Raw genomic sequence first — 26082 nt, 5'->3', positions numbered from 1 at the left:
CTATTTGCAAGGTTTGCCCTTGGCTGGCATCTGGGAATCCAGACTTTGGGAAGGTTTCTGCTACCCTAACTGACAAGAATGGCTCATTGTGCCTAAACTGTTTGTACAAACAATATGATTCATGCTGAACACCTGCTTTCCTTCTGGAAGTCTGAATTTTGGTAGATGCCAGGCAGGGAATGCCTATGTGATCAGTCGCCAATAAAAACCCTGGGCACTGAGTCTCTAATGAGCTTCCTTAGTTAGCAACATTTCGCAAGTGTTGCCACAACTTGTTCTTAGGGGAATTAAGCATGTCCTGTGTGACTCTACTGGAAGACATCCTTGGAAGCCTGTGCCAGGTTTCCACCATATTTTGCCCCATGTTCCTTCTCCCTTTGCTGATGGTGCCTGGTGTCCTTTTGCTGTAGTATATCATAGATGCAAGTACAATCATACGCTGAGACCTGGGTCCTCTCGTGAATGACCTAACCTGTGAGTGGTCTTGGGGACCTCCTGATACAGCCTAGCACTTCTGGGAGCTTACTATATCCACACAAAATTATATATATACAAGATTGTTCATTATAGTATTATTGTAATAAAAGACTAAAAACAATGCAAGTGTCCATCTGTAAGGAACTGTTAGATAACGTCCTCCATATGGTGAGAAACTCTCAATATACTGTTACAAAATAATTTCCATGAGTGGTTTAAATAAATAAATAAATAAATAAAACAAAAAAACAGATGTAGAATGGAGTACATCACATCCTACCTTTTGTGTAATAAAAGGAGGAAAATAAGAATATGTTATTCAAATGTCTTTATATGGCAAATTAGGATATAAAGAAAGATTCATAAACTAATAAAAGAGATAGCTTGTATGTGAGCAGTTATAGGGAAAAGAGTGATAAAGACAACAGAAAATTCAAAAACAAAAATCAAAGAATCTAGATTTCTAGGAGAGGGGAATAAGGCTGCTGGGAACTCTGTTAAGTCAGTCTCCAAAGATTCACTTTTCTGGATGTGGTCCATGACAAAGGGATTCATTTTTACTCCCAGACAAGTGAAATACTTACTTTGCCTGGACCAGGTGTTTTCTTTTTCTTCAATTCACCTCTGCTTTTCTCATATTCATTCTTTGATGCTAATTTAAGAAAAAAAAACTGGCAATAGCTATTTTCAGTATAAGTAAAATAAAAAGGCAAAATTCTTCCTAAAAGAACATTACAATTATTGAAGAAAAGATGCTCATGACAATGCAATTCTCAACAATTCCTTCTACTGCTGTAAAAACTATATCAAGAGAAAATTTTTCCTGGATGAATAACCCTAGTTTTTAAATCCTAAGGCTGTTCTACAAGTTTGAATATAACCACATTATGCGAACAAGTTTAAAAAAAATGAGGCTGATTTTACTAGTCCACAGTTTAACCATTACAGGTAAAACCAGAGTAAAGCAGTCCTTTTAACAATTTCTTTTAAGATAGTTTTGGAATTACTCCCATAATAGGTACATATTTGACTTTGGGAGATGTAAAATTGTGGAGAGCTTTGCACAGCCAGAGGGAAGTATCAAGGCATTAGGTGCTTTGTGGGGGAGGGAGAGGGAACCCCAGAAGGTGGAAGAGGAGTAAAAGAAAGGCAAATGGGATGGCACCAAATACAAACCTCTCTTATGTTCCAACTTTGTCCAGGGGCCTAGTGGCAACATAACTAAAGGACCATTCTCTGTGCTGCCTTCAGGTCAGCTGCCAGCCCCTCCCTTATGAAACCAGTCAGCCACCTGTGTGCAGAGCAGCAATGAAGGCTGCCGTACTACTTGCCTGAGGGTCCTGCGCACAATGAAGTGGTTTTGCTACAGTCTTGATAATCTTTATTCTGTTCTTCCTCGCTAAGTTGAGACATGTTTTCTATAAAAAGCAATATCAAATCATATTGTCATGATTTAATTCATGGTGGAAAGCCAAACAAACAAAAACAAAAACAAGAGAAAGAGAAGCTAAGTACATAATCATCCAGTTTTATTATCATCAGCTTCAACTAATCTTAAGGTTTTAAATAAATATGTTTCAAATGTATTACAGAAAACTGCCAATTTTCCACTTAAAACACTAGCCAACATTGAGGTAAAACTTTTTAGCAATACTTACTAAAAGCCTCAAAAATGTACATACTCCTTGGCCTAGAAATTCTACTCCCAGAACATATTTTTTTAAAAATCAGAGATGACCACCAAAATTTATTATTATTTTAGAAACAGGGTTTTTCTCTGTTGCCCAAGCTGGAGTGCAGTGGGGCAATCATAGCTCACTGCTGCCTTGAATTCCTGGGCTACAGAGATCCTCCTGCCTCAGCCTGCAGAGTAGCTAGGACTACAGGCATGTACCACCATGCCTGGCCAATATTTTTTTTTTTTAATTTTTTGTAGAGATAGAGTTTCACTATCTTGTCCAGGCTGGTTTCAAACTCCTGGGCTCAAGTCATTCTCCTACTTCGGCCTCCCAAAATGTTGGGATTACAGGTGTGAGTCACCCAGCCTAGCCCCAAAATTTGTTATATATATGTTTGTAATAGCAAAAATTAAGAAATAACCTACATGTTCAACAATTGAGAGTTGACTAAATACATTATGGCATATGCATGTGATGAACCACTATGCTCCTTCTCTGAAACCACATTTTAAAAAGAATAGTCTAAGGCATAGGAAAAAAAAAACTAGGTTATAAAATAGCAATATATAAACTGGGCATGGTGGCTTACGCCTATAATCCCAGCACTTTGGGAGGCTGAGGTGAGAGGATTGCTTGAGGCCAGGAGTTTGAGACCAGCTTGAGCAACATAGGGAGACCCTATGACTCTATTTTCTCTACAAGCATGTGCCTTGGGAGGTCAAGGCTTCAGAGAGCCAAGATCACACCACAGTACTCCAACCTGGGTAACAAAGTAAGACTCTGTCTCAATAAAAGTAAATATTAAAGTAAAAATAAAAACAAACCACAGGAAAAAAGGCCTGGGGTAATCCCTCATCACTGCAAATTTACTAATTATTTAATTTTGTTTTGTTTTGTTTTTGAAACAGTCTCACTCTATCACCCAGGCTGGAGAGCAGTGGCATGATCTCAATTCACTGCAACTTCTGTCTCCCGGGTTCAAGCAATTCTCCTGCCTGCTCAGAGCCCTCCTGAGTACCTGTGATTACAAGCATGCACCATCACGCCCAACTAATTTTTTCTGTATTTTTAGTAGAGACGGGGTCTCACCACATTGGCCAGCCTGGTCTCGAACTCCTGACCTCAGGTGATCCATCCGCCTCGGCCTCCCAAAGTGCTGGGATTACAGGCGTGAGCCACTGTGCCTGGCCAAATTTACTAATTATTTAATCTTATAAACCAAGTTTCAAAATCTAAGCTATTTTTACACACACATACTTACTTTGGTCTGTTAAACAAAAAAATTATGATACTTATTGCTCCCCTCCTGCTGACCTGTTTATATCCACCTTCACAATATATGGCCCAAAGACCAAGCTCATGTAAGTACCTTTTTGAAAAGGACAAATGCAGATACAGAATACTTACCTCTCACAGATGAGGAAACAGTAACTTTTCTGTTTCCCAGACAAATGAAGGTGATTCAAGAGAAGGGCTACATACCAGGCCTGGAGTTTTTATGTAGCCAAGCCTGGTTTGTTGTGGAAGTAGACATGCATGCATTCCCATACATTCAGTGCCAGTTTTTATTGTTTCTCCTCATACTCCTTATTTTCTGAGATCTTTATCTTCCTAACCAGTTTGGCCAACCAGCAGGAAAATAACCCCTGCAGTTGACAAGGGATGAAAGGATACTAAAAAGATAAACAATGATCTTTAGGGGTGGGGTTGTGGGGATTTCTTTTTTTTCCTTTGGACTTTTATGTATGATCTATAGTTTCTAAAATGAACATATAACCCTTTGTAATTAGAATATATATATAGAAAATACAGAATTAATTGATGCATATATCTATATGAATATCAATCTATTCCGTCTTTCAACATTTTTCATCAAATATTTGCTGAGGCGGGTGGATATGTGTCAGGTTTTGTGCTAGGTTCCAAACACACAAAAATGAATGAAGCAAGATCCTTCTTGAGAACTTTAGTCCAATGAGTACAATTATGGTTTGGCCTCTGTTTTAGGGATGGAGGAAAAAATGAATAGGGGTTGACTTATCCGGAGACCACCTGATCAGGCCCCATCATGTACCCTGTTCCACTGCCCTCCAACTCACACAGTGGCAGCAGCTCAGGATTATTCCACAGCAGCTATGGTTTCAGATTCCATAGCCTTCAATTTTCTGTAATTCTGGAATGGATTGGAAATAACTGCCCTTAATTTGCAATGAAGACAAATAATGACTGGCGGTCAAAGGAAGAAGACCAAGAAAGTATGTTTCCTTGCTACAGAGTCAGTATATCACATACAAAGTCAAATGCACAGACAAGAACTGGCCTTGCTTTTTAAAACCTATCCACAATCAATGTAACTGCCCACTGAACAACACAGGAAGGAGAAGAAAGATATTACCATGGGTTTGGGTTTCTTTAAAATGTGTGAGATCTGTGGGAGGCCTCATTTCCTGCACTGCTGCTTCTGGCTCTATCTCTGGCTGTGGCCTACTGAGGCTTCCATCCTCCAGTTTTTTCTTTTCATGCTCCTCCTTTTCTTTCTCTTCTTCCTCTTCCTCTTCCTCCTCCTCTTCTACTTCAGGCTCATCTTTCATTCTCATTAGAGTTGGAGGGAGTTCTGGACGCTTGGGGGGTAACTTCTAAGAGGGAAACAAAACCATGAACAAGTAGTTCTACTTAATGACAACAAGAGAAAAATCTTTTCAAGGAGGTCAGTCTAAATGTACTGAATGTTTACTCTTTTTAGGTTGATGAACTCCACAGAAGTCTGCTGGAGGTGGGACTTTGACATGAAATTTTACCCCTCTATAGACCCTAAACAAGTGTCTTTATTAGTTCCTAGAGTCAAAGATTACTAAATACAAAACACTTGAAAATAGCTTGTAAGGAACTAAAATAGTTATTTCAGATGAGTGCCAGCTACAGGAATTCTGGACTGTTATAACTCATGATATTAAAGGATTTCAATTGATTACAAAATCTTCTAAGGAATAAATCAGACAATCAGAAATAAGTCATTTGTGCTGCTTTTTCATTTTAGACTTAGCGTAATTTCAAGGAAACAAGGCATGTAAATCCATCAAACAGATCCTGAAGAAAAGGAGGAAGACATTTCTCAAAGAATAAAGCTAAATATTCTAATCAAAGCCATTCAATAAAAGTATTTATTAGAAAAGGTTGATCACAGTTATGGAATAGAGGGAAGGAACCAAAGCATATCTTGGTTATATCTTTTTTTTTTTTTTTTTGAGACAGAGTCTTGCTCTGTGGCCCAAGCTGGAGTGCAGTGGTGCGATCTCAGCTCACTGAAACCTCTGCCTCCCCGGTTCAAGCGATTCTCCTGCCTCAGCCTCCTGAGTAGCTGGGGTTATAGGTGCGCAGGCCACCGTGCTCAGCTAATTTTTGTATTTTTAGTAGAGACGGGGTTTCACCATGTTGCCCAGGCTGGTCTCGACTAGTGAGCTCAAGCAATCCACCCACCTCGGCCTCCCAAAGTGCTGGGATAACAGGTATGAGCCACCGCGCCCGGCCTATATTATCTTTTAAATATAGGACTTAGTTCTAAAATTCTCTAAGGAGGGCTGTTTAGTAAAAAGTTTTCTATTTAAAACCTAAGTCCCCACCGCAACAGATTGAAAAGCCTACTTGTTAGGTAAACCATTACTCATTCAGAATACATAGTGAGGCCGAGGCAGGTGAATCATGAGGTCAGGAGTTCGAGACCAGTCTGGCCATGGTGAAAAACTGTCTCTACTAAAAAAAAATACAAAAAATTAGTTGGGCGTGGTGGTGGGTGCCTGTAATCCCAGCTACTCGGGAAGCTGAGGCAGGAGAATCGCTTGAACCCGGGAGGAGGAGGTTGCAGTGAGCCGAGATGGCCACTGCACTGCAGCCTGGGTGACAGTGTGAGACTGTCTCTCAATGAAACAAACAAAAAGAATACATAGCTAGGACTTCAGATTTCTGCCACCAGAGGGCAGTATACCCTAATTCAGGGTGTTTTGGACGAATTGTGCCCCCTGCTGCCCAAATTCATGTTTGAAGTCCCAAGCCCCAGTACCTCAGAATATGACTGTAAATTAAATTAAACTGAATTAAAATGACACTATTAGGGTGGGGCCCTAACTCAGTATGACTCATGTCCTTAGAAGAAGAAGAAGAGACACCAGGAGTGCAAGTGCACAGAGGGATGGCCATCTGAAGAGCCAGCAAGAGGGCAGCCATTGGTAAGCAGAGAGGCCTTAGAGGAAACCAACCCTGCTGGCAACTGTGAACAAATAAATTTCTGTTGTTTAAGCTGCCCAATCCCTAGTATTTTGTTATGGTGGCCCTAGCAAACTAATACTCAAGGTTCAGCTCTTAGGGGTAATGAAAACCTTTTAAAAGCTGAATCTATGAATAGGAATATAGATAAAGCAAAAACATACAGACAGACATATATTGTAGGGTAGCAGGGAAATCATAAAGCTCAAGAGACAGACCTGGATCTGATTACCAGCTTAGTTACATAACGCTGGTGTGATCTGGTATTTAACTTCTCTGACTCTATTTCCTCATTTGTAAGAGGCAATAATTCCCACACAGCAAAAGGTGTTGGAAGGATTAAATGAAGAAAAATCATATGGCAGAGGCAAGTGCACACACTATGTTCTTAAATGTTGGTGAGTCTGAACACTACATCTATCCACCTGGGGAAAAGCATTTAATGCAGGAGACCCATTCTTAAATGCAACATTCATGAGAAATTAATAAACTATGATTCTAATTTACAAACCATTTACTTGCAAATTGATTGGCATAAATTAATTCATCAATTCTTGATAACCCTAAGCTGAGAAAAAGAATCCACAAACTGGCCAGGCACAATGGCTCATGCCTATAAACCCAGCATTTTGGGAGGCCAAGGCAGGTGGATCACGAGGTCAAGAGATGGAGACCATCCTGGCCAACATGGTGAAGTCCCATCCTACTAAAAATACAAAAATTAGCTGGGCATGGTGGAGCACGCCTGTAGTCCCAGCTACTCGAGAGGCTGAGGCAGGAGAATTGCTTGAACCCGGGAGGCGGAAGTTGCAGTCAGCCGAGATCACGCCACTGCACTCCAGCCTGGTGACAGAGTGAGACTCTGTCTCCAAAAAAAAAAAAAAAAAAGAATCCAAGAACCAAGTTCTGGGAAAGATGTGATCATACCAAGCCCACAGCCCTTTCTCACATTACTATGGAATGAGTCATTTGTAGTTTCAAAAAAGAAAAGAGAAAAATTAGCTCAGGGATAACTCAAGGGCTAAAAGTTTAACACCCTGACTCACAACTTACCCCTACTGTTCCAGTTTTTAATTTGAATTTGCTTCCTCCTTTCATGGCACCAAATAGAGGCAATGTAAGCTTTTTAGCTTTGTTTTCTGCACCTGTAGTCTGAGTTTCAGTCCTAGGAAGAAAGAATAATTATACACATCTATTCCAGGGAGTCCCAAGGTTTTATCTAAAAATACCATGATACTGACAAAGAAACCTCTGGCAAAATAAAAATTACCACAAAATGAATATCTAAGCATATAACAATAAGAAAGAGGTATTCAGACCAACAGATTTTGAATGGACAAGAACAATGCTGACTGTCACAGACACAGAGCTATGATGAGGCTGCTCCCTTAGTCAAGTAATTTGCCACATGCTACATGACTTCACACCCATGAAATGACTACAGTACAAAGGTCACTGGCAAAGGAGAACATATAAGCAGCAGGAGATTGATCCATGGTGTAAAGCCCTACTTCCCACCAACCTCTGAAGAGTGTCTTACTTATCTGGAGCTCCCACTTAAGCGCAATAGCTCTGAGCACTTAAAAAAAAAAGTGTGCATGGGGATGGGGGTACAGTATGCAGGATACCCAGTGTAGTAATGACAAAGATATAGTGAGAGACTGCAACTGCTGAGCCTGTCAACATTCTCAACGGCTGGAGATAGTTAGAAAAGCTAAGCCCATTAGGACAAAGCTGAGGAAGGGTATAAAGAAGAGATAGTAGAAATTAGAAAGGCAGGGGGAGAACAGAGCAAAAACAAAAGGGATAGCAATTCAGTTGACAAGATACTCAGAGCAGGCAGAGGTGACAATGAGAATATGGCATGAGGAGACAGAGGAAACCCCAGAATAAGCATACTAGACTGAAAAGAAAGCCCTCTGTTTTCTTCATATTGACCATGGGACAGCCCTGAAAACTGGAATATAAGGACAGTAATGGCATTCGACTCACAGTGACCCATACCAGATGTTAGCTACCTGGCCCTCCCTGAAGCCCCACTTGCTACTACTGCCTTCTTTTACCTAAGTCTTATCCCCTTAGTAGCACTCTTAAGTCCAGCCTCAAGCCCCTTTCTCCCTACCAGAGATAAAACCCATTCCCTTGCTAAGGCCACCAGAAGAATGCTGCCTGCCTGGCCATGAAGGACATTTTGTCAAATCATTATCCTTCACACCCTTCCCCACAGGCCTCAGGAAGGCTCTGGCATAGAAAGACAGAAGCAACAGCAACACAGATGTTTTCAGCTACATTAAAAAGCCAGGCTGGCCTAGAGGATAAGCTAAGACTGGCTCAAAGGAGATGAAAAAGCAGAAGATGGAATCACAATCAAGATTGCTTGCAGGGGTTAGGGTAGGAGGCAGAAAGTTTGGAAGTTCAACCCATAAGTGAAAAGAGGAGGAAGAAGATACACATCTAGACCAGTATCCAAAATAGGAAAGGGAGGAAAAACCAGGCAAGCACACAGACTGATAGCAGGAGAGGAGGCTCTGGAGGAAGCTGAGACATATTTCGTTTTCGTTTTTTTTTTTTTTTAATTCTTCTTGCCCCAAATGTTGTTGTTGTTGTTGTTGTTGTTGTTGTTGTTTTCCAAAGCAGAGATTTGTTTTTGTTTTGTTTTTGTTTGTTTGTTTGTTTGAGACAGGGTCTTGCAACCTCACTCTCCCAGGTTCAAGTGATACCTCAGCCTCCCAAGTAGCAGGGATTACAGACAAGCACCACCATACCCAGCTAAGTTTTTATCTTTTGTAGAGACAGGGTCTCACTATGTTGCCCAGGCTGGTCTCAAACTCCTGAACTCAAGCCATCCTCCCACCTCACTCACTCTCCTAAAGTTCTGGGACTACAGGTGTGAGCCACCGTCCCCAGCCACTTTTATTAACAAATAGTTTTACTGTAACAAAATTATTATATGATTCTTACTTTTTCCAGTTATTTGTTATTTAGAACTAGAACTGCAACTACATTACAGTAAATTTGGACCTAAAGTGGTATGGCTATTTGGTACAGGATTTTCTTTTCAAATTCAGTATATCTGAATAGAATAGAAAGTATATTCACATGTTCAAAACTCAAGTATAAAGCACATATACTGTGAAAAGTCTCCCTCCCATTGCTGTCCCCCAGCCACCCAGTTGCCTTCCCCATTGGCAATCAATATTATTAATTTTTAACGAATCTTTCCAGAGATACAGTAGCAGATGCTGTCCCTCCCAGATTCCCTTTATCAGGCCAAACAGCTACTGCAGACATCGGCTGCTAAAGGCTCACACCTGCACCCTTCCCAGAATTGCTGTGAGCCCCTCCCACCCCCCAGTCACCGGCAGCCTATGACCAATGAAGGGTTGGGGGGACAGGGTATCGAAACCCAAGCCCCATGCCTCCATGGCATCTGTGGTGCCATTCAGGCTCTCCTGAAACCATATCTTAGCCCAGCTTCTTCTCCTGCCCTCTCCTGCTTCCCTCACTCCCATATAGATTTCTCCTGAGAGCACTCTCTTAATAAATCACTTGCAGATGAATCTCCGATTCAGTCTGTTTTTAGGGAACCCGACCTAAACAGATATTATAAACATAACCATGGCCTACTTATCTATGTATTCTTCCCCCACCATCATTTTTTACAGACAGCGCCTGTTATACACACCGTTCTGCACCTTGCTTTTGTTACTTATCTTGATAGTGTTTCTGTATCTTATATATAGTTGCCTTTTTTTTCAACAGCTATATGGTGTTCTATTGTATATCTACACCATAATTTATTTATTTTTTTGAGATGGAGTCTCGCTCTGTCGCCCAGGCTAGAGTGCAGTGGCGCAATCTCGGCTCACTGCCAGCTCCACCTTCCTGGTTCACGCCATTCTCCTGCCTCAGGCTCCCAAGTAGCTGGGACTACAGGCACCCACCACCACAACCGGCTAATTTTTTGTATTTTTAGTAGAGACAGGGTTTCACCATGTTAGCCAGGATGGTCTCGATCTCCTGACCTCGTGATCCGCCCAGCTCAGCCTCCCAAAGTGCTGGGATTACAGGCGTAAGCCGCAGCACCTGGCCGCAATTTATTTAATCCATCCCCTTTGATAAACATTTAGGGGATTTCTAATTTTTTACTACTATTAATACAAACAATGCTGTACATCATTTCCTAAGTATGTGAGGGACAAATTCCTAGAAATGAAATAGATCAAAGGGCATGTGCATTTGTAATCAGGATAGAGACTGCCAATTTGTCTTGTAGAGAATGTACTAATTTGTCCTTCAATGACAATATAAGAAAGTGCCTTTTTGTCAGCCTCATCAGCACAGTATAAAATCATAATTAATCTTCATCAAATTCATATATAAAAATGCTATTAAGACCAGGTGTGGTGGCTCACACCTGTAATCCCAGCACTTTGGGAGGCTGAGGTGGGCAGATACCTTGAGGCCAGGAGTTCAAGACCAGCTTGGGCAACATGGCAAGACCCCATCTCTACAAAAAATTAAAAATTAGCCAGGTATGGTGGAGCATGCGTGTGGTCCCAGCTACTTGGGAGGCTGAGGCAGGAGGATCACTTGATCCCAGGAGGTCAAGGCTGCAGTGAGCTGTCACTGTGCCACTGCACTCCAGCCTGGGTGACACAGTGAGACCCTATCTCAAAAAAAAAAAAAAAAGGTATTAGGTTGTAGTATTTGTATTTCTCTTATGATCATGAAGTTGAGCATCTTTGTATAAAAGATGCTATTTGTATTTCTTTTCCTGTGGCCTGTGAGTAGACATCCTTTACTCATTTTTCTCCTGGGTGGTTGGCTGTCTACTTATCATTCAGAGGTCTTTTTATTAATAATTTAATTTTTTTTTTGAGACAGGAACTTCCTCTGTCACCCATGCTGGAGTGCAATGGCACGATCACAGCTCACTGTAGCCTGGAACTCCTGGGCTCAAGCGATCCTCCTACCTCGGCTTCCCAAGTAGCTGGGACCACAGGTGTGCTCCAACATGGCTGGCTGATGTTTTTATTTTTTGTAGAGATAGGGTTGTGCCATATCACCCAGGCTGGTCTTGAAAGTGATCTGCCTGCTTCAACCTCCCAAAGTTCTAGGATTACAGGTATGAGCCACTACGCCCAGCCTCAGAGGTCTTTTTATATTAGATAAATTAGCTTTTTGTGCATGATGCTTTTTAAAGGAGTTTATTCTACACTAAAAGATTAAGTAAAAAAAACTTCGGAACCTTCCAATGAATCAGAAATCAATATAGTTTTCTCAGAAAATCCTCTATCAGTCTATATTTCACAAATATGAAACAGGTTTTTAGTTACTCTATGAAACCACTGCTTTCTGTGCTTTAAAGGGTTCCTTGCATTACATTTGTATTATATAATGATTATTTAAGAAGATAAAGCGATAATTGAAAATGTTATCTATGCTACCATACTTATTTAGAATTCCAAATATAACTAAGACTTACTTTTTTAGTTCTGGAATCTCTGCTGGCTTTACAATTTTTATTAACCCTTTAAGTCTCTGTTGTTCTTTCCTCAGTTCAAAAGTTCTCAGGTGAAGTTTCTTCCGGGACACACCATCTAATGTACTGCCTGATTTCATTTCTGACATGAACGCATCTAAAGAATCCTGAGATGGAGACTCTGATAGAACTGTCCAAGAAAAGAATAACACATGTTTAGAAAGATGATCCTGAATATTTTAAAATTCAGCCAAAGTTTCCATATAAAAGTCACTAACATAAAACCGGACAGAGGACATCACTAGTAATAGGAATAAGGAACAGGTTATAGCCATGAGACCTTGGGAAGTCATTTTGTCTCAATGTGCTTCATTCCCCTCAACAATTAAATAAAGAGGTTAAACCAAATGATTTATAATGTTCTTTCTAGTTCTAAAACGGTATGTTGCTCCTTTAAAAGGCTCCATATTCTGTATGGTATTTCTTATTAACTAATGTAGCCCCAGTGCCTAGCATAGAGCACTATATGTGGTATATTAATAAATATTTGATGAAAAACTTACCTTGGCTTGAGGCTTTCAATCTCTCAGAAATTTCAGAAAGTTCCCTTTCAGCATCATTTAATTTTGCAACCTGTAACACCCAAATCAACAGGGTTACAAAGTTTTTCTTCTTTCAAACTGTTTTTCATCCTCCTGTTTTAATTATTCTTACTAGAAGTTTTAAGAAGATTAATTCAAAAGTCCAGTTAAACTGCTACTTATGGAGTTAACACTTTTTTTTTTGTTTTGAGATAGAGCCTCATTCTGTTGCCAGGGTAGAGTGCAGTGGTGCAATCTCGGCTCTCTGCCACCTCCGACTCCCGGGTTCAAGCGATTCTCCTGCCTCAGCCTCCCAAGTAGCTGGGACTACAGGTGTGCACCACCACACCCAGCTACTTTTTGTATTTTTAGTAGAGACAGGGTTTCACCATGTTGGCCAGGATGGTCTCAATCTCCTGACCTCATGATCAGCCTGCCTCAGCCTCTCAAAGTGCTAGGATTACAGGTGTGAGCCACCACACCTGGCCAGAGTTAATAGTTTTTTTTTTTTTTTTTTGAGATGGAGTCTCGCACTGTCACCCAGGCTGCAGTGCAATGGCGTGATCTCGACTCACTGCAACCTCTGCTTCCTGCATTCAAGCAATTCTCCTGTCTCAGCCTCCAGAGTAGCTAGGACTACAGGCACACACCACCACGCCTGTCTAATTTTTGTATTTTTTTTTTTTTAGTAGAGGTGGGGTTTCACCACATTGGTCAGGTGGGTCTCGAACTCCTGACCTCAGGTGATCCACCGGCCTCAGCCTCCCAATGTGCTGGGATTACAGGCATGAGCCACCATGCCCAGCCAGGAGTTAACACTTTTTATGTGTTAAATCCAAATTTAATTTATTTCTGAATTAAAAAACACAGAATTAAACAGAATGAATAACTCGGACTTCATTTTACTCAGAAGAAAGAGCTCAAGGCATTTGTTTTCACATAAATCAAAAGGATAGATGTTGGGTAATGTTTTAAGCTCTGAATCCTACTATAAATTAATACCTGTAACAAATTCCTTGAAGTGCAATTGCTGAATCAATGCATTTTTAATACTGACAGATGTCGTAGGATTGATCACTTAAAAGGTTGTATTGTACATTCCCACCAATTGAGAGTCTACTTCTCCATATTCTGGTCAAGCTCTGCATTATTAATCTTATGTTTTTTTCTAGTCTAATAGGTAGCCTATTACCTGCCTATTATTGTCTGTTACCTACCCATTAACACGTCACCTTGTGATAATTTCCTGAAGAACATACTGTTTCAGACTACATATTACCATACTACATTCTTCAAAATTCCTTTGACTTCTCTTGACTGCCAGAAGGCTAAAGTCAATTTCACCTCAGAACGCCCTAACTTGGAACTTTTTCCTTTCCTTTTGAGAGAGGTAATATCATATCCAAAGAATGTTAATTAATGGATCAATATCCTGAAGGAAAGGATCTAGCAGCAAGCCATATTTTTTTCAAACAACTTGGATAAGACTAGTTGTCTGTTACCATTAAATTAACAGACCACAAAAGTTATACTTCAGTATCAGATTTCAATGCTACTACTTTAAAAATTATCATAAAACATATTTAAATAATACATTATGTTATTAAAAATTAAACTATTAAATACCACAGCTACTTCCATAAATAAAACTTGCCAATGATTCAAAGGTCTCTGGCTTCTCATCAATCTTGCCAGCCTTCTTCATTCTGTTCAGACGCTTCTTCTCAATCAGGCCAGTCCTATCAAGAAATGTGTCATCATCACTATCATAAAAGTCTTCATCTTCCCAGTTCTTGGCTTTCCTTTTCCGAGATACTAGAGGTAGATAAAATGATGAATAAATAAGTTTTTAAAAAAGAAAAGAAAAAGAAAGAAGGCAAGTAGGCAAGGAGCTTAAAATGTCACCATCAACTACTGAAAGAGAGGTTCTACAAGCTGCCAAACTACGTATAAAAACAAAGGGCTAAACCTTGAAGACATTATACTAAGTGAAATAAGCCATATATAAAAGGACACTTACTGCATCATGTGAGATACCTAAAGTAGTCAAATTCATAGAGACAGAAAAGTAGAATGGTGGTTGCCAGAGGCTGGGAAGGAGGGAGAATGAAGTTAGTGTTTAACAGATACCAATTTCAGTATGGAATGATAAAAAAGTTCCAAAATGAACAGTGTTGATGGTTCCATAATATTGTGAATGTACTTAATGCCACTGAGTGATACTCTTAAAATGCTTAAAATGGTACACTTTTCTGTTATGTATATTTTCCCACAATTTCTTATTAAATAATTTTTCATTAAAGCAAATAGTTAATTTATTTAATGAGCAAACGGCTTTTAAAAATCAATGAGGATGGCCAGGCATGGTAATCCCAGCACTTTGGGAGGCTGAAGGGGGATGGATCGCCTGAGGTCAAGACCAGCCTCACCAACATGGTGAAACCCCGTCTCTACTAAAAATACAAAAATTAGATGGGCATAGTGGCGGGTGCCTGTAATCCCAGCTACTCAGGAGGCTAAGGCAGGAGAATTGCTTGAACCTGGGAGATAGAGGTTGCAGTGAGCCGAGAAAGCGCCACTGCACTCCAGCCTGGGTGACAAGAGTGAAACTCTATCTCAAAAAAAAAAAAAAATCAATGAGGAAAAAAGGAAAATGAAAAATGAGAAAAAGGACAATAACCCAAAAGAAAATTTGAAAAAGGATAATGAAAGCAGTTCACAGAAAAATACAATAAATATTTTTAAATATGTTACTTTAAAAAAAAATAAAGTACAAATTTAAAAATTAGATACTTCTCATCTATTAGACTAGAAAAACATAAAAAGATTAATAATTGGTGGGAATGTACATTGATACAACCTTTTTGATGGTCAAGCCTACAATATCTGCCATTAAAAATGCATTGATCCAGCAATTCCACTTCTAGGAATTTATTCTATAAATATCAATGCAATAGTATTTATAACAGTGAATATGTAAAGAGTCCATCAATAAGAAACTATGACAGCTATTACTTTTTTGTTCACCCTACAACATTCTACTCCCTTTGTTCTGATAAAAGTACCTCTTTCCCCTAGAAAATTCCTCCCCCATTTTATCTGGTTTAGGGATAGTCATAGGACCAAAGCCAAATCAGTAAGACTCTTTCCCTCATATTTATATTTAGAGATGGGGCAAAGAGGCTCTCTTTACAATGAGGTTATTAAAGTGAGAGACTGTTAAGTTCAGGGCTGTAAGCAATCAGCTTTTCAGCACAGGGTAAGAATCTGTCTGCAAAGTTTAAAAATGCACTCGTGAGACAGACTCACTCACAGACACACACACACACACACACACACACACACACACACACACAACTTGTATATGTCCTGGTGATGCTGAGTCTACTTTGGTAGTACTAAGTTATGGTTTCAGAACTTGAGGTTCTGGTTCATGCAGTTGTTCCTTCACTCCTGTTCCTTCATCCTGAGCTATTCTTCCCAGCTTCTGCAGCCAATGACCTTTCCCCTAAGCTAGTTTGAATTGGACTTCTATTATTTGCAAGGAAAATAGTCCTTATTAATATAAGCCTAATTTGCAGGTTAAGATGGTACATTAAACACACATATCTAATTTCCCTCTTTCCCTAAATCCCAATAAACCATAGTAAAGAGATGTACCCACGCCTGGGCAACATAGCAAGACCTTGCCTTTACTAAAAATAAATCTAAAAAAAGTAGCTGGGCATGGTGGTGTGCACCTGTAGTCCCAGCTACTTAGGAGGCTGAGGCGGGAGGATCGCTTGAGCCCCGGAAGTTGATGCTGCAGTGAGCTGTGATCAGACCACTGCACTCCAATCTGGGCAGCATAGAGGAAAGAGAAGGAAGGAAGGGAGGAAGGAAAGAAGGAAGGAAGGAAGGAAGGGAGGGAGGGAGGGAGGGAGGGAGGGAGGGAGGGAGGGAGGGAAAGTAAGGGAAAGGAAAGGAAAAAAGAGAAGGGAGGGAAAGGAGGAAAAGAAAAAGAAAGAAAGAAAGAAAAGAAAGAGAGAGAGAGAGAGAGAGAGAAAGAAATTCATAAAGACCCAAATTTTAGAAAATTAGAAAGTAGACAGATGAGTAGAAACTAACTTAGCAGAATTTAAAAAGATAAATCCTAAACAGTGGGGAAAGCTGAGAGCCAAAGTGATTACACTGCAGAATCCTCAAACGGATCTGCAACTGGGGATGGATACTAAGGTTATGGAGGACTAAGTAAAAACTGGTTGAGAAATAGATCTTCCTCCCTGCCTACTCATCTCCTTTCCATCTGCAGTAGAAATCCAGAGGTTAATCTCTGGAAAGGGTAAAACAGAAAGCCTTTGGATTACGAGTTGACTAGTAAAGTTGAAGGCATGGGCACTATAATCTAAAAATAGTACTGTCCTGAAAACAGCTGAATGAGAAGCCACTCAGCCACCTTCTACCACTTAGCTCTAGGAATGCTGGCAGCCAGTCCTTTCGTTTCAGGCAGGAGATTGGAAGAGCACTCTCTGGGGAATCTCGCTCACAGACGAGGAAAACCAAAAGGATACTTAAATCAAGGGTTCCCCAACAAAAGGCCCACCCACATCATTCAATAGTACTGCTCAAAGTCAACAAACCCCACCTATATATTCCATGCAGAAACCCCACCTATATATTCCAAACTGTCAATCACCTTTTTCATCCCCAAATAAAAAAACTACAATGAAGAATTACATGACACCTAAGAAAAGCCTTTAACATGCAGAACAGAGACCACATAAAAAGAAAAATAACATGGAGAAAACAGAGAGGAGATATTTACAACCCATGAAACAAGAGGATATTATGTTTTAAAAAGGACAATTCAAAAACCAAAAATGAACTTTTAGAAATTAAAACCTTGGAGTCTCTGAGCCTTCTCTGGCATGAAAGACTGCCTGATTTTAAAAACTTTAAAAAAAGAGAAAGAAATTAAAACCTTGATGGCAAAATAGAGAAGACAGAAAGATAAAGGTGCAGAAATCTCTCAAGAAGGAAAAGACATACAGATGAAAAAAAGAAGAAAAAAAACTTAAATGGTCTGTCCAAGAGGTCCAATGTCTGAATAATAAAATTCCATAGAAAACAGAGGGACGAAACAATTAATGACATAATTGCAGAAAACTTCCTGAACAGCCAAGGTTTCTAGATCAAAAGGATCCAACAAGTACCCAGAAAAATGAAGAAAAATAGACCCACAGAAAAGTACTTCATAGTTTTAGAACCTTTAGAACAAAGGGAAACTCTTACAAGCTCTGGCAAGGCGGAAAAAAAAGATGACATACAATAGGATCAAAATCTGAACAGTTTAGGATTTCTCAAAAGCAACACTGAATGTAAAATAAGAAAAATTGTTTCCAACTTAGAATTGTATTCCCAGCCAAACTATTAATCAGGAGTGAAGCTACAATAATTATATTTTCAGAAGAGAAGGATTAATAAAATTTATTTCCTATACACTCTTTCTCTGAAATCTACTAGAGGATGTCCACCAAAACAAGAGAGTAGACCAAGAAAAGGAAAGATGTGAAATTCATTGAAGACTATCATCACCCATGCCCTCTAGTGTTGTACCAGCTTTTTAATCTGCTAAAAGTACAGAAGGATGTACTACTGTGCAAGGAAATAAACCAAGAAATATGAGAATATGAGAATCAAGAAACAGAAAAGTCAACCCTGGAGAAAGGACAAAGAAATCTTAAGGATGATAGGAAAGTTAAGTCCCAGGTGACAGTTCTGTAGCAGATCTGCAGAGCAATAAGCCCTGAAAGAAAAATAGTGCTCTTCAGAAAAAGTGTCTCCAAAACAAATCAGAACTGATAAATTACTTAATCATTAAGTTGTTTGATGTGGTGAGGCTACTGAAAGGTGTGGGAGGAATGAGCAAGAAATACAAAAAAGCCCCAAACACATGAAAAGCAAACGCAATTATTACCCTTAGGAAAAACAAAAAGAAATAAAACTGCTCAGTTATAACTAATATTTGCATAAGCATAATCACGTAAATACTAAATACTAATTTAGCAGAGTCGACAGGTAACGTCTAAAATAAGTGACTAAAAATATAACACCATACTCTTGTTCTTAGAAATACAGGTGTTTTTAGGCTGGGCGCAGTGGCTCACGCCTGTAATCCCAGCACTTTGGGAGGCCAAGGCAGGCGGATCATGAGGTCAGGAGTTCGACACCAGCCTGGCCAATATGGTAAAACCCTGTCTCTACTAAAAATACAAAAATTAGCTGGGTGTGGAGCACGCACCTATAGTCCCAGCTACTCAGGAGGCTGAGGCAGAAGAATCACTTGAACCCGAGAAGCAGAGGTTGCAGTGAGCCAAGATCATGCCACTGCACTCCAGTCTGGGTGACAGAGTGAGACTCCATCTCAAAAAAAAAAAAAAAAAAAGAAAAGAAAAGAAATACAGGTGTTTGTTGTTTTTTTTTAAATTTAATTAATTATTTATTTTTGAGACGGAGTCTTGCTCTGTCACCCAGGCTGCAGTGCAGTGGCGCGATCTCGGCTCAATGAAAACTCTGCCTCCTGGGTTCACGCCATTCTCCTGCCTCAGCCTCCCAAGTGGCCGGGACTACAGGCACCTGCCACCACACCCAACTGATTTTTTTTTTTGTATTTTTGGTAGAGACGGGGTTTCACCGTGTTAGCCAGGATGGTCTCGATCTCCTGACCTCGTGATCCGCCTGCCTTGGCCTCCCAAAGTGCTGGGATTACAGGCGTGAGCAACCGCGCCCGGCCAAGAAATACAGGTGTTTTTAAATGCCAGAATAAATAACTGAAAAAACTGAAAGCCTTTAGGGAAGAAGACTGAGGATGGGTAGGGCAAGGAACAAGTATATTTTATTATAAGCCTTTTGGTAGTTTTGAACCAGACATAAGTTACTTTGCAATAATAAAAATATAATATAAGCCTTATTAATAAATGATGCTCTACTCAGACTTTAAAAAAAAAAAAGCAAAATACACAATTAATGTATTGATACATATTAATGTATTGATGTAATATTCGTGATACGGCCAGGCGCAGTGGCTCATGCCTGTAATCCCAGCACTTTGGGAGGCCAAGGCGGGTGGATCACCTGAGGTCAGGAGTTCGAGACCAGCCTGGTCAACACGGTGAAACCTCGTCTCTATCAAAAATACAAAAATTGGCCAGGTGCGGTGGCTCATGCCTGTAATCCCAGCACTTTGGGAGGCCGAGGCAGGTGGATCACCTGAGGTTGGGAGTTCGAGACCAGCCTAACCAACATGGAGAAACCCCGTCTCTACTAAAAATACAAAATGAGCCAGGCATGGTGGTGCATGCCTGTAATCCCAGCTACTTGGGAGGCTGAGGCAGGAGAATCGCTTGAACCCGGGAGGCAGAGGTTGCAGTGAGGTGAGATTGCGCCATTGCACTCTAGCCTGGGCAACAAGAGTGAAACTCCATCTCAAAATAAATAAATAAATACAAAAATTAGTTGTGCAGGGTGGTGCAACCTATAGACCCAGCTACTAGGGAAGCTGAGGCAGGAGGATGGCTTGAACCTGGGAGACGGAAGTTGCAGTGAGCCGAGATCATGCTGCTGCACTCCAGCCTGGGTGACAGAGTGAGACTCCATCTCAAAAATAATAATAATAACAACATCCATGATACATTCTTATGTTAAAAAAGTAAGTCACAAAAGATTGTAATTAATATGACTACATTTGTGTATGAGTGTTTTTTGTTAAAGGATCTAGGTCTCAGCACACATCTATATATGCATAGAAAATGTCTGGGAGAATATAAACAGTGGCTACCTTAGGGTATTGAGAATTTTTCTCTTTTCACTTCAAAAAATTTTGTACAATTTACATTTTCCCCCCATAAAGAAGTTTTATTAGCGTTTGTGTTGAGTTTTCCTTTTTTTAAATCTAGAAAAAAAGGGCTCCTATATACTGACCTGCTTCCTGCCGAAGCAATCCCAAAGTGTCAAGAATCCGACAAGCTTCCAATGAGCACTGGATCATTGCTTCTTTTTTCTTTCCTGAGTGAATGGCCTCAGCCACCAGTTGTTTTCCAGTTGAATCGTCCACAGGTAATCTTCATTGATTTGGTGGGAATTATAGCACAGCATTAAGCTCCAATTCTCAAGAAAACAACTACTATGCTATGATAATAGTCATTTTTTTTTTAGATGGCCTTTCAGTCTTTGAATCCATCTTGTTCTATCTTTCCAATGTTGGATTTAAAATATTTTCTTTCTATTTCTTACCCATCCCACCCCACTCTCCAATAATATAAGGGTTACTAAACGATAAAGGCTCAAATTTAGAAATAGCTTAAACTTAGATGAAAGTTACTCTTTGGGTTGTTATCTATAACCATACATTAAACCTGAAATTGGCCATTTTCCAGAAAAGAACATTAATAAGAAAAGAGCATACCTCACCCTGCAGAGCCAAGTGCTATGTCCCTGTTCATCAAATTCATATTCTAATTCTTCTCCTGTGGGAGAAAGACAGACAAAACAATTTTAATAGAATCCAAAAATTACTAGTTGATACAATGATAAATGAGAACAAACGTTAAATACGAACAAGTTCCTAGCAGTGGCTCACGCCTGTAATCCTAACACTTTGGGAGGCTGAGGCGGGATGACAGCTTGAGTTAAGGAGCGCGAAACCAGTCTGTGCAACATGGCAAAACCCCATCTGTACAAAAAATACAGAAATTAGCCGGGCATGATGGTACGTGACTTTTGTCCCAGCTACTACGGGGGCTAAGGCCGGAGCATAGCTTAAACCCAGGAGGTCAAGGTTGCAGTGAGCCAAGATTGCGCCATTGCACTCCGGCCTGGGCGACAGAGTGAGACCCTGTCTCAAAAAAAGAACAAGTTCTGGCTGGGCGCGGTGGCTCACGCTTGTAATCCCAGCACTTTGGATGGCCGAGATGGGAGGATCACGAGGTCAGGAGATCGAGACCATTCTGGCTAACACAGTGAAACCCCGTCTCTACTAAAAATACAAAAAAAATTAGCCGGGCGTGGTGGCGGGCGCCTGTAGTCCCAGCTACTCGGGAGGCTGACGCAGGAGAATGGCGTGAATCCGGAAGGCGGAGCTTGCAGTGAGGCGAGATCGCACCACTGCACTCCAGCCTGGGCAACAGAGCGAGACTCCGTCTCAAAAAAAAAAAAAGAACAAGTTCCCATACCACACTGAATAATAAATTTCAATGCATTTCACTTCTCATTCCTAGGGATTATTGTCTGATAATAAAATTAGAGTAAGTCTGAGGCAGAGAAAAAAACAAACTCAGATCAAAGTAACCAATTCTCCATACATAGCTCTGTTCACTGTATAGTATGTTTCACTTTTATAAGTTGTAGACTTTAGTGGTTATTTTAACACAGTTGCCTGGTTTTTAGAAGCACAGATATTAAGTGCACAGCTATTTCATATATTATTTATATATACATATAAAATATATACAGATATACATACATATACATAGATATTCTCTCAAAGTATTCCTACCAAAACAATCCTCTATGGAAAAAAAATTTTAAATCATATAATATAAAATCAAAACCTATGTTAGGAATTACAAAAGATCAGGTGAATTCGGAATTAAAAAACTACAGGAAGTTGGCTCAATTTCCCCACCACCAAAGTCCAGGATCTTTTGAGAAGAATGAGATGAGTCAGGAAAAAGTACTTCCTTTTTTTAAGATAAGAAGAAAGACTAACAAGATTTTTATGATTTTTTTCCCCTCTGCCATACTAATGAGGAATAATTTTCAAAATAAACCTAAAGCAACTGACCACAAGAGTAAAAAGTGAACAAGAAGGACAGCAATAAAATTATAGCATATCTTAGTATAAAGCTCAACATGAAGCTCTAGAAAACCACACTGCTCTGGATATGTTTTAGTGGTAGGGTCAGAATCTGTTTACATACCTTCTCGGTCAAAAAAGCCTTGGAGAGCCTTTTTGGGATCCTTTATATAAAAGGCCTCCCTTTCCTGCTGAAACTCTAAGACAATAGGGTTCTCTTCAGCATCATCCTCTACTGCATCTTCTCCTACAGGATATGGAAAAGAAAGAAAAGATAATCAGACATGAGAAGAGACTATTTGAATGATACCCACTATTCTCTCAGGCTGCATAAAGATATAGTTTAGGCTGGGCGCAGTGGCTCATGCCTGTAATCCCAGCACTTTGGGAGGCCAAGGCAGGTGGATCACAAGGTCAGGAGTTCAAGACCAGCTTGGCCAACATGGTGAAACCCCATCTCTACTAAAAATACAAAAAAAATTAGCTGGGCACAGTGGCGGGTGTCTGTAATCCCAGCTACTTGGGAGGCTGAGGCAGGAGAATTGCTTGAACCTGGGAGGAAGAAGTTGTAGTGAGCCAAGATCGCGCTACCTGCACTCCAACCCAAGCAACACAGTGAGACCGTCTCCCAAAAAAAAAAAAATATATATATATATATAGTTTATCTGTGATGAAAAATAATAAATACTTGCAGGGACAGGGGGTGGAACAACCACCACAAAACCACTAGTATGAGCATATTCAGGTTTTCTAAATTGTGTGACAAGTCAAAACTTGTTTTCATGGCACCTTAATTTTTTTTTCTCCATCATTATATTTTAAAAGTAAAATTACCTACCACATTGTGGAAAAAAAATTTGAGCTCCTCAGCCTGGCATTCTTGTTCTCTCACACTCATATCTAACTTTCGTTCCCAATATAATTTCCTAATACTTCTTATATCTGCCAAATAGACTGGTCTACTCACAACTTCCTTAAAATCATCAATTCCTACCCTGAATACCAATCCCAATACTCAGCTTCATAAGGCTTTTCCTTTCCTTCAAGTTCCAGCTCAAAATCCTTATGCTCATAAAGCTTCCCTGTGGAGTGCGATCGCTCACGCCTGTAATCTCTACACTTTGGGAGGCCGGGGGGCGGGGTGGGGGGGGGGGGTGGGGGGTGGATCACAAGGTCAGGAGTTCAAGACCAGCCTGGCCAATATGGTGAAACCCCATCTCTACTAAAATAAAAAAAATTAAGTTTCCCAAAGATCTAAGTCAGTGCTGTCCAACAGAAATATAATGACAGCTGTATGCGTCATCTTAAATTTTCTATTAGCCACATTAAAAAATTAAAAGGAAACAGGTAAAATTATTGTCATTTCAACATGTCATCAATATAAAAATATCATGAAAGAGATATTTTACATTCTTTTTTTCAGACTAAGTCTTTGAAATTCAGTGTGTATTTTGCATTTACAGCACACATCAATTGCAACTAGCCACACTGCAAGTGCTCAGTAACCACATGTGGCTAGTGGCTACCATATCAGACAACACAGGTCTAAGTCCCCAGTGACTGTTCTCTCTTCTCCAAACTTTCACTCTAGCATACTTATGGTTTCTAGCTTTTGTTTGGCACTTAGCACAAGTAATTTCATAATTTTTCCTATCTTCCCAACTATATATTAATGCCATCTTCTACCTTTTTATACTCCCATCTCCTGAATATCCATTTTCTAAAATATCTGGTGTTAAAGAAAGTTTATTATTTTGGCTAAGGGACCAGCTTTATCTGATTAGATATTCCACATTTCAGGATATCTTCACAAAGTACAAAAAATTCAAGAGAATATCCTATATTGAATAACATCCCATTTATTTGATTGAATAGAGTTCCATCCCCTCCAATGATAATCACATAGCACAAGGTCAGTACTTAATAAATATAAAATTTTAGAATTGTAAAAATAATAATTTTATGCTTAGGACAAGTTTTGAACAAGAGAGTGCATTAAAAATAAATTTTTAAAAAATCCAAAGTGCCTATAAGTCAATTTCTTTACAACAGTAAAGTCAGTGAATCTCTCTGGGTTTTGGTTACCTCATGTGCAAATTGTGTTTGCCCTATCTATCTCAAGGAGCCATGAAAAGCTGTATGATTTAAAAAAACATTTAAGGGTACCACTTGTAATGAACTTAAAATATTAACCTCCGGCAGCAATTTTAATTTCTTACCCATTCCCCAGGTGCAACCCATCTCATCATCTTGGCTACCAGCATTTATCTTCCTTTCAGAGGTATCCATTTCCTCTTCTTCATCTGAGTCTTCTCCTAGCATCTTCTTCTCCAACAATATTTGCTGCTGCTTGCGCAATTCCTTCAACTGTGTTACTGTTAACTCGGATTCTGCCTCTCGGTCTTCCTCTGGTCCCTGATGAACCAAGGAAAAAAAGGTTATTTATTTATTTAGAGACAGGGTCTTGCTCTGTCGCCTAGGCTGGACTGGAGTGCAGTGGCTGTAATACACCTCACTGCAGCCTTGACCTCCTGGGCTCAGGTGATCCTCCCACCTCAGCCTCCTGAGCAGCTGGGACCATGATGCCTGGCTAATTTTTTTTTTTTTTTTTAAGAGACAGGGTCTTGCCATGTTGCCCAGCCTCCTCTCAAACTCCTGGGCTAAAGCGATCCTCCCGCCTGGGCCTCCCAAAGTGTTGGGATTACAGGCGCGAGCCACCGCGCCTGGCCAAACAAGTTATTTTAGAGTTCGGGATTGTGAACATGACTTTCAGAAATATAGCAATGTGTACAGCCGTCTGAAGATGATAGGCCAGACTTGATTCCTTCACTTTCGTAATCGCTGAGTGGGAGATTCTTCTTCCTCATCCAAAGCTTAAGAAGCACAAGAACGCAGTCCAATGAACCCGAAATTTCAATTCTAGGTTTTTCTACCTACCTGCAGGATAAAGAGCCGGGTGCTGCCTCCAAAGCGAACAACATGCCCAACGTGGACTCGACAGTAGGTGCGAGGTGGGATGCGAGTTTTGTTGAGAAAAGTGCCATGGGTGCTTCCCAGATCGTAGAGGTAGAAGCCCGGCCCGTTGCTGTCGCATTCTCCGTCAGGGCCGGACGCCCTGTGCTGCAGCACTGCGTGGTACCGAGACACCGAAGGGTGCTCCAGGCACACGTCGCAGCCAGACAGCCTCCCGAAAAGGCAGTAACTCGTCCCTTTCAAGCTACGGGTGCCAAGGATAGTGCCGCCCTTCAGGGTCTCTAAGCTGTAGGGGGCTGTGGCAGGGCCACCCCATGGAGGCTCTTGGTAGGGGGGAGCCCGGGCTGGACCGCCAGGGGAAGAAACCGCTGTCGGGGGGCGCGACTGCTCCTCCTGTAGACTCCTAAAATCACCGCAGTCCGGCTGAGGAGGAGGGATGTCGGGCTCCCCAGAATTGGAGTCCTGCAACGCAGTGGGCCCTTCCTTCTGTACCTCCTCAGGGTTTGAAGAACTGCTGGCCGGGGCCTTACTCCGCGCCGCTGGGGACACCGGCAGAGCTGGCTTCTTGAAGTCCCCACTGAGGTCTTGCGACGCCAGGGTCTCTGACTGAGAGAGAATGTCAGCCATCCTCAACCGGTGCAACTTCGAAATCCGCTCCTTCGAAACCCACCCTTCGGTCTTTACGTTCCTGTCCACGTCCCACTCTCCCAAGCTCCCAGTGGCGTCTGTAGGCGGCGATGGTGAAGTTGCTCCTTCACGACCTGGAGCGTTGCGAAGTGGTGCTAACATGAGAAG

At 40.7% G+C, this 26082-nt stretch overlaps 1 protein-coding gene across 1 annotated transcript in view, besides 1 other annotated feature; it reads right to left on the bottom strand.

Annotated features, from left to right (window-relative positions):
- The window catches only part of SLC4A1AP (solute carrier family 4 member 1 adaptor protein), a 31081-nt gene extending 5141 nt beyond the window's left edge, over window positions 1-25940 (bottom strand). Inside the window, exons 1-12 of the mRNA NM_018158.3 lie at window positions 25252-25940; window positions 24534-24729; window positions 22439-22561; window positions 20926-20986; window positions 20442-20581; window positions 14137-14297; window positions 12465-12534; window positions 11905-12091; window positions 7470-7581; window positions 4552-4792; window positions 1809-1895; window positions 1062-1129 (exon numbers count right to left, since the gene is read on the bottom strand). Of these exons, the coding sequence (NP_060628.3) occupies window positions 1062-1129; window positions 1809-1895; window positions 4552-4792; window positions 7470-7581; window positions 11905-12091; window positions 12465-12534; window positions 14137-14297; window positions 20442-20581; window positions 20926-20986; window positions 22439-22561; window positions 24534-24729; window positions 25252-25914 (2109 nt within the window). The 5' untranslated portion in view covers window positions 25915-25940. The remainder of the gene's footprint in view (window positions 1-1061; window positions 1130-1808; window positions 1896-4551; window positions 4793-7469; window positions 7582-11904; window positions 12092-12464; window positions 12535-14136; window positions 14298-20441; window positions 20582-20925; window positions 20987-22438; window positions 22562-24533; window positions 24730-25251) is intronic.
- Window positions 6965-8164: an enhancer, noted in NCBI's record as "BRD4-independent group 4 enhancer chr2:27904532-27905731 (GRCh37/hg19 assembly coordinates)". NCBI's record gives its function as "activates an origin of replication core promoter dependent on BRD2, P300/CBP, MED14 and CDK7 cofactors, and independent of BRD4, by STARR-seq in HCT116 cells {active_cell/tissue: HCT116}" and the evidence as "EXISTENCE:reporter gene assay evidence [ECO:0000049][PMID:35650434]".
- Window positions 25941-26082: the final 142 nt, after the last annotated feature.

Source organism: Homo sapiens, chromosome 2, assembly GCF_000001405.40.
Source record: "Homo sapiens chromosome 2, GRCh38.p14 Primary Assembly".
NCBI lineage: Eukaryota > Metazoa > Chordata > Mammalia > Primates > Hominidae > Homo > Homo sapiens.
The sequence above is the reverse complement of the archived record's forward strand: the minus strand, read 5'-3'. Positions and strand labels throughout refer to the sequence as shown.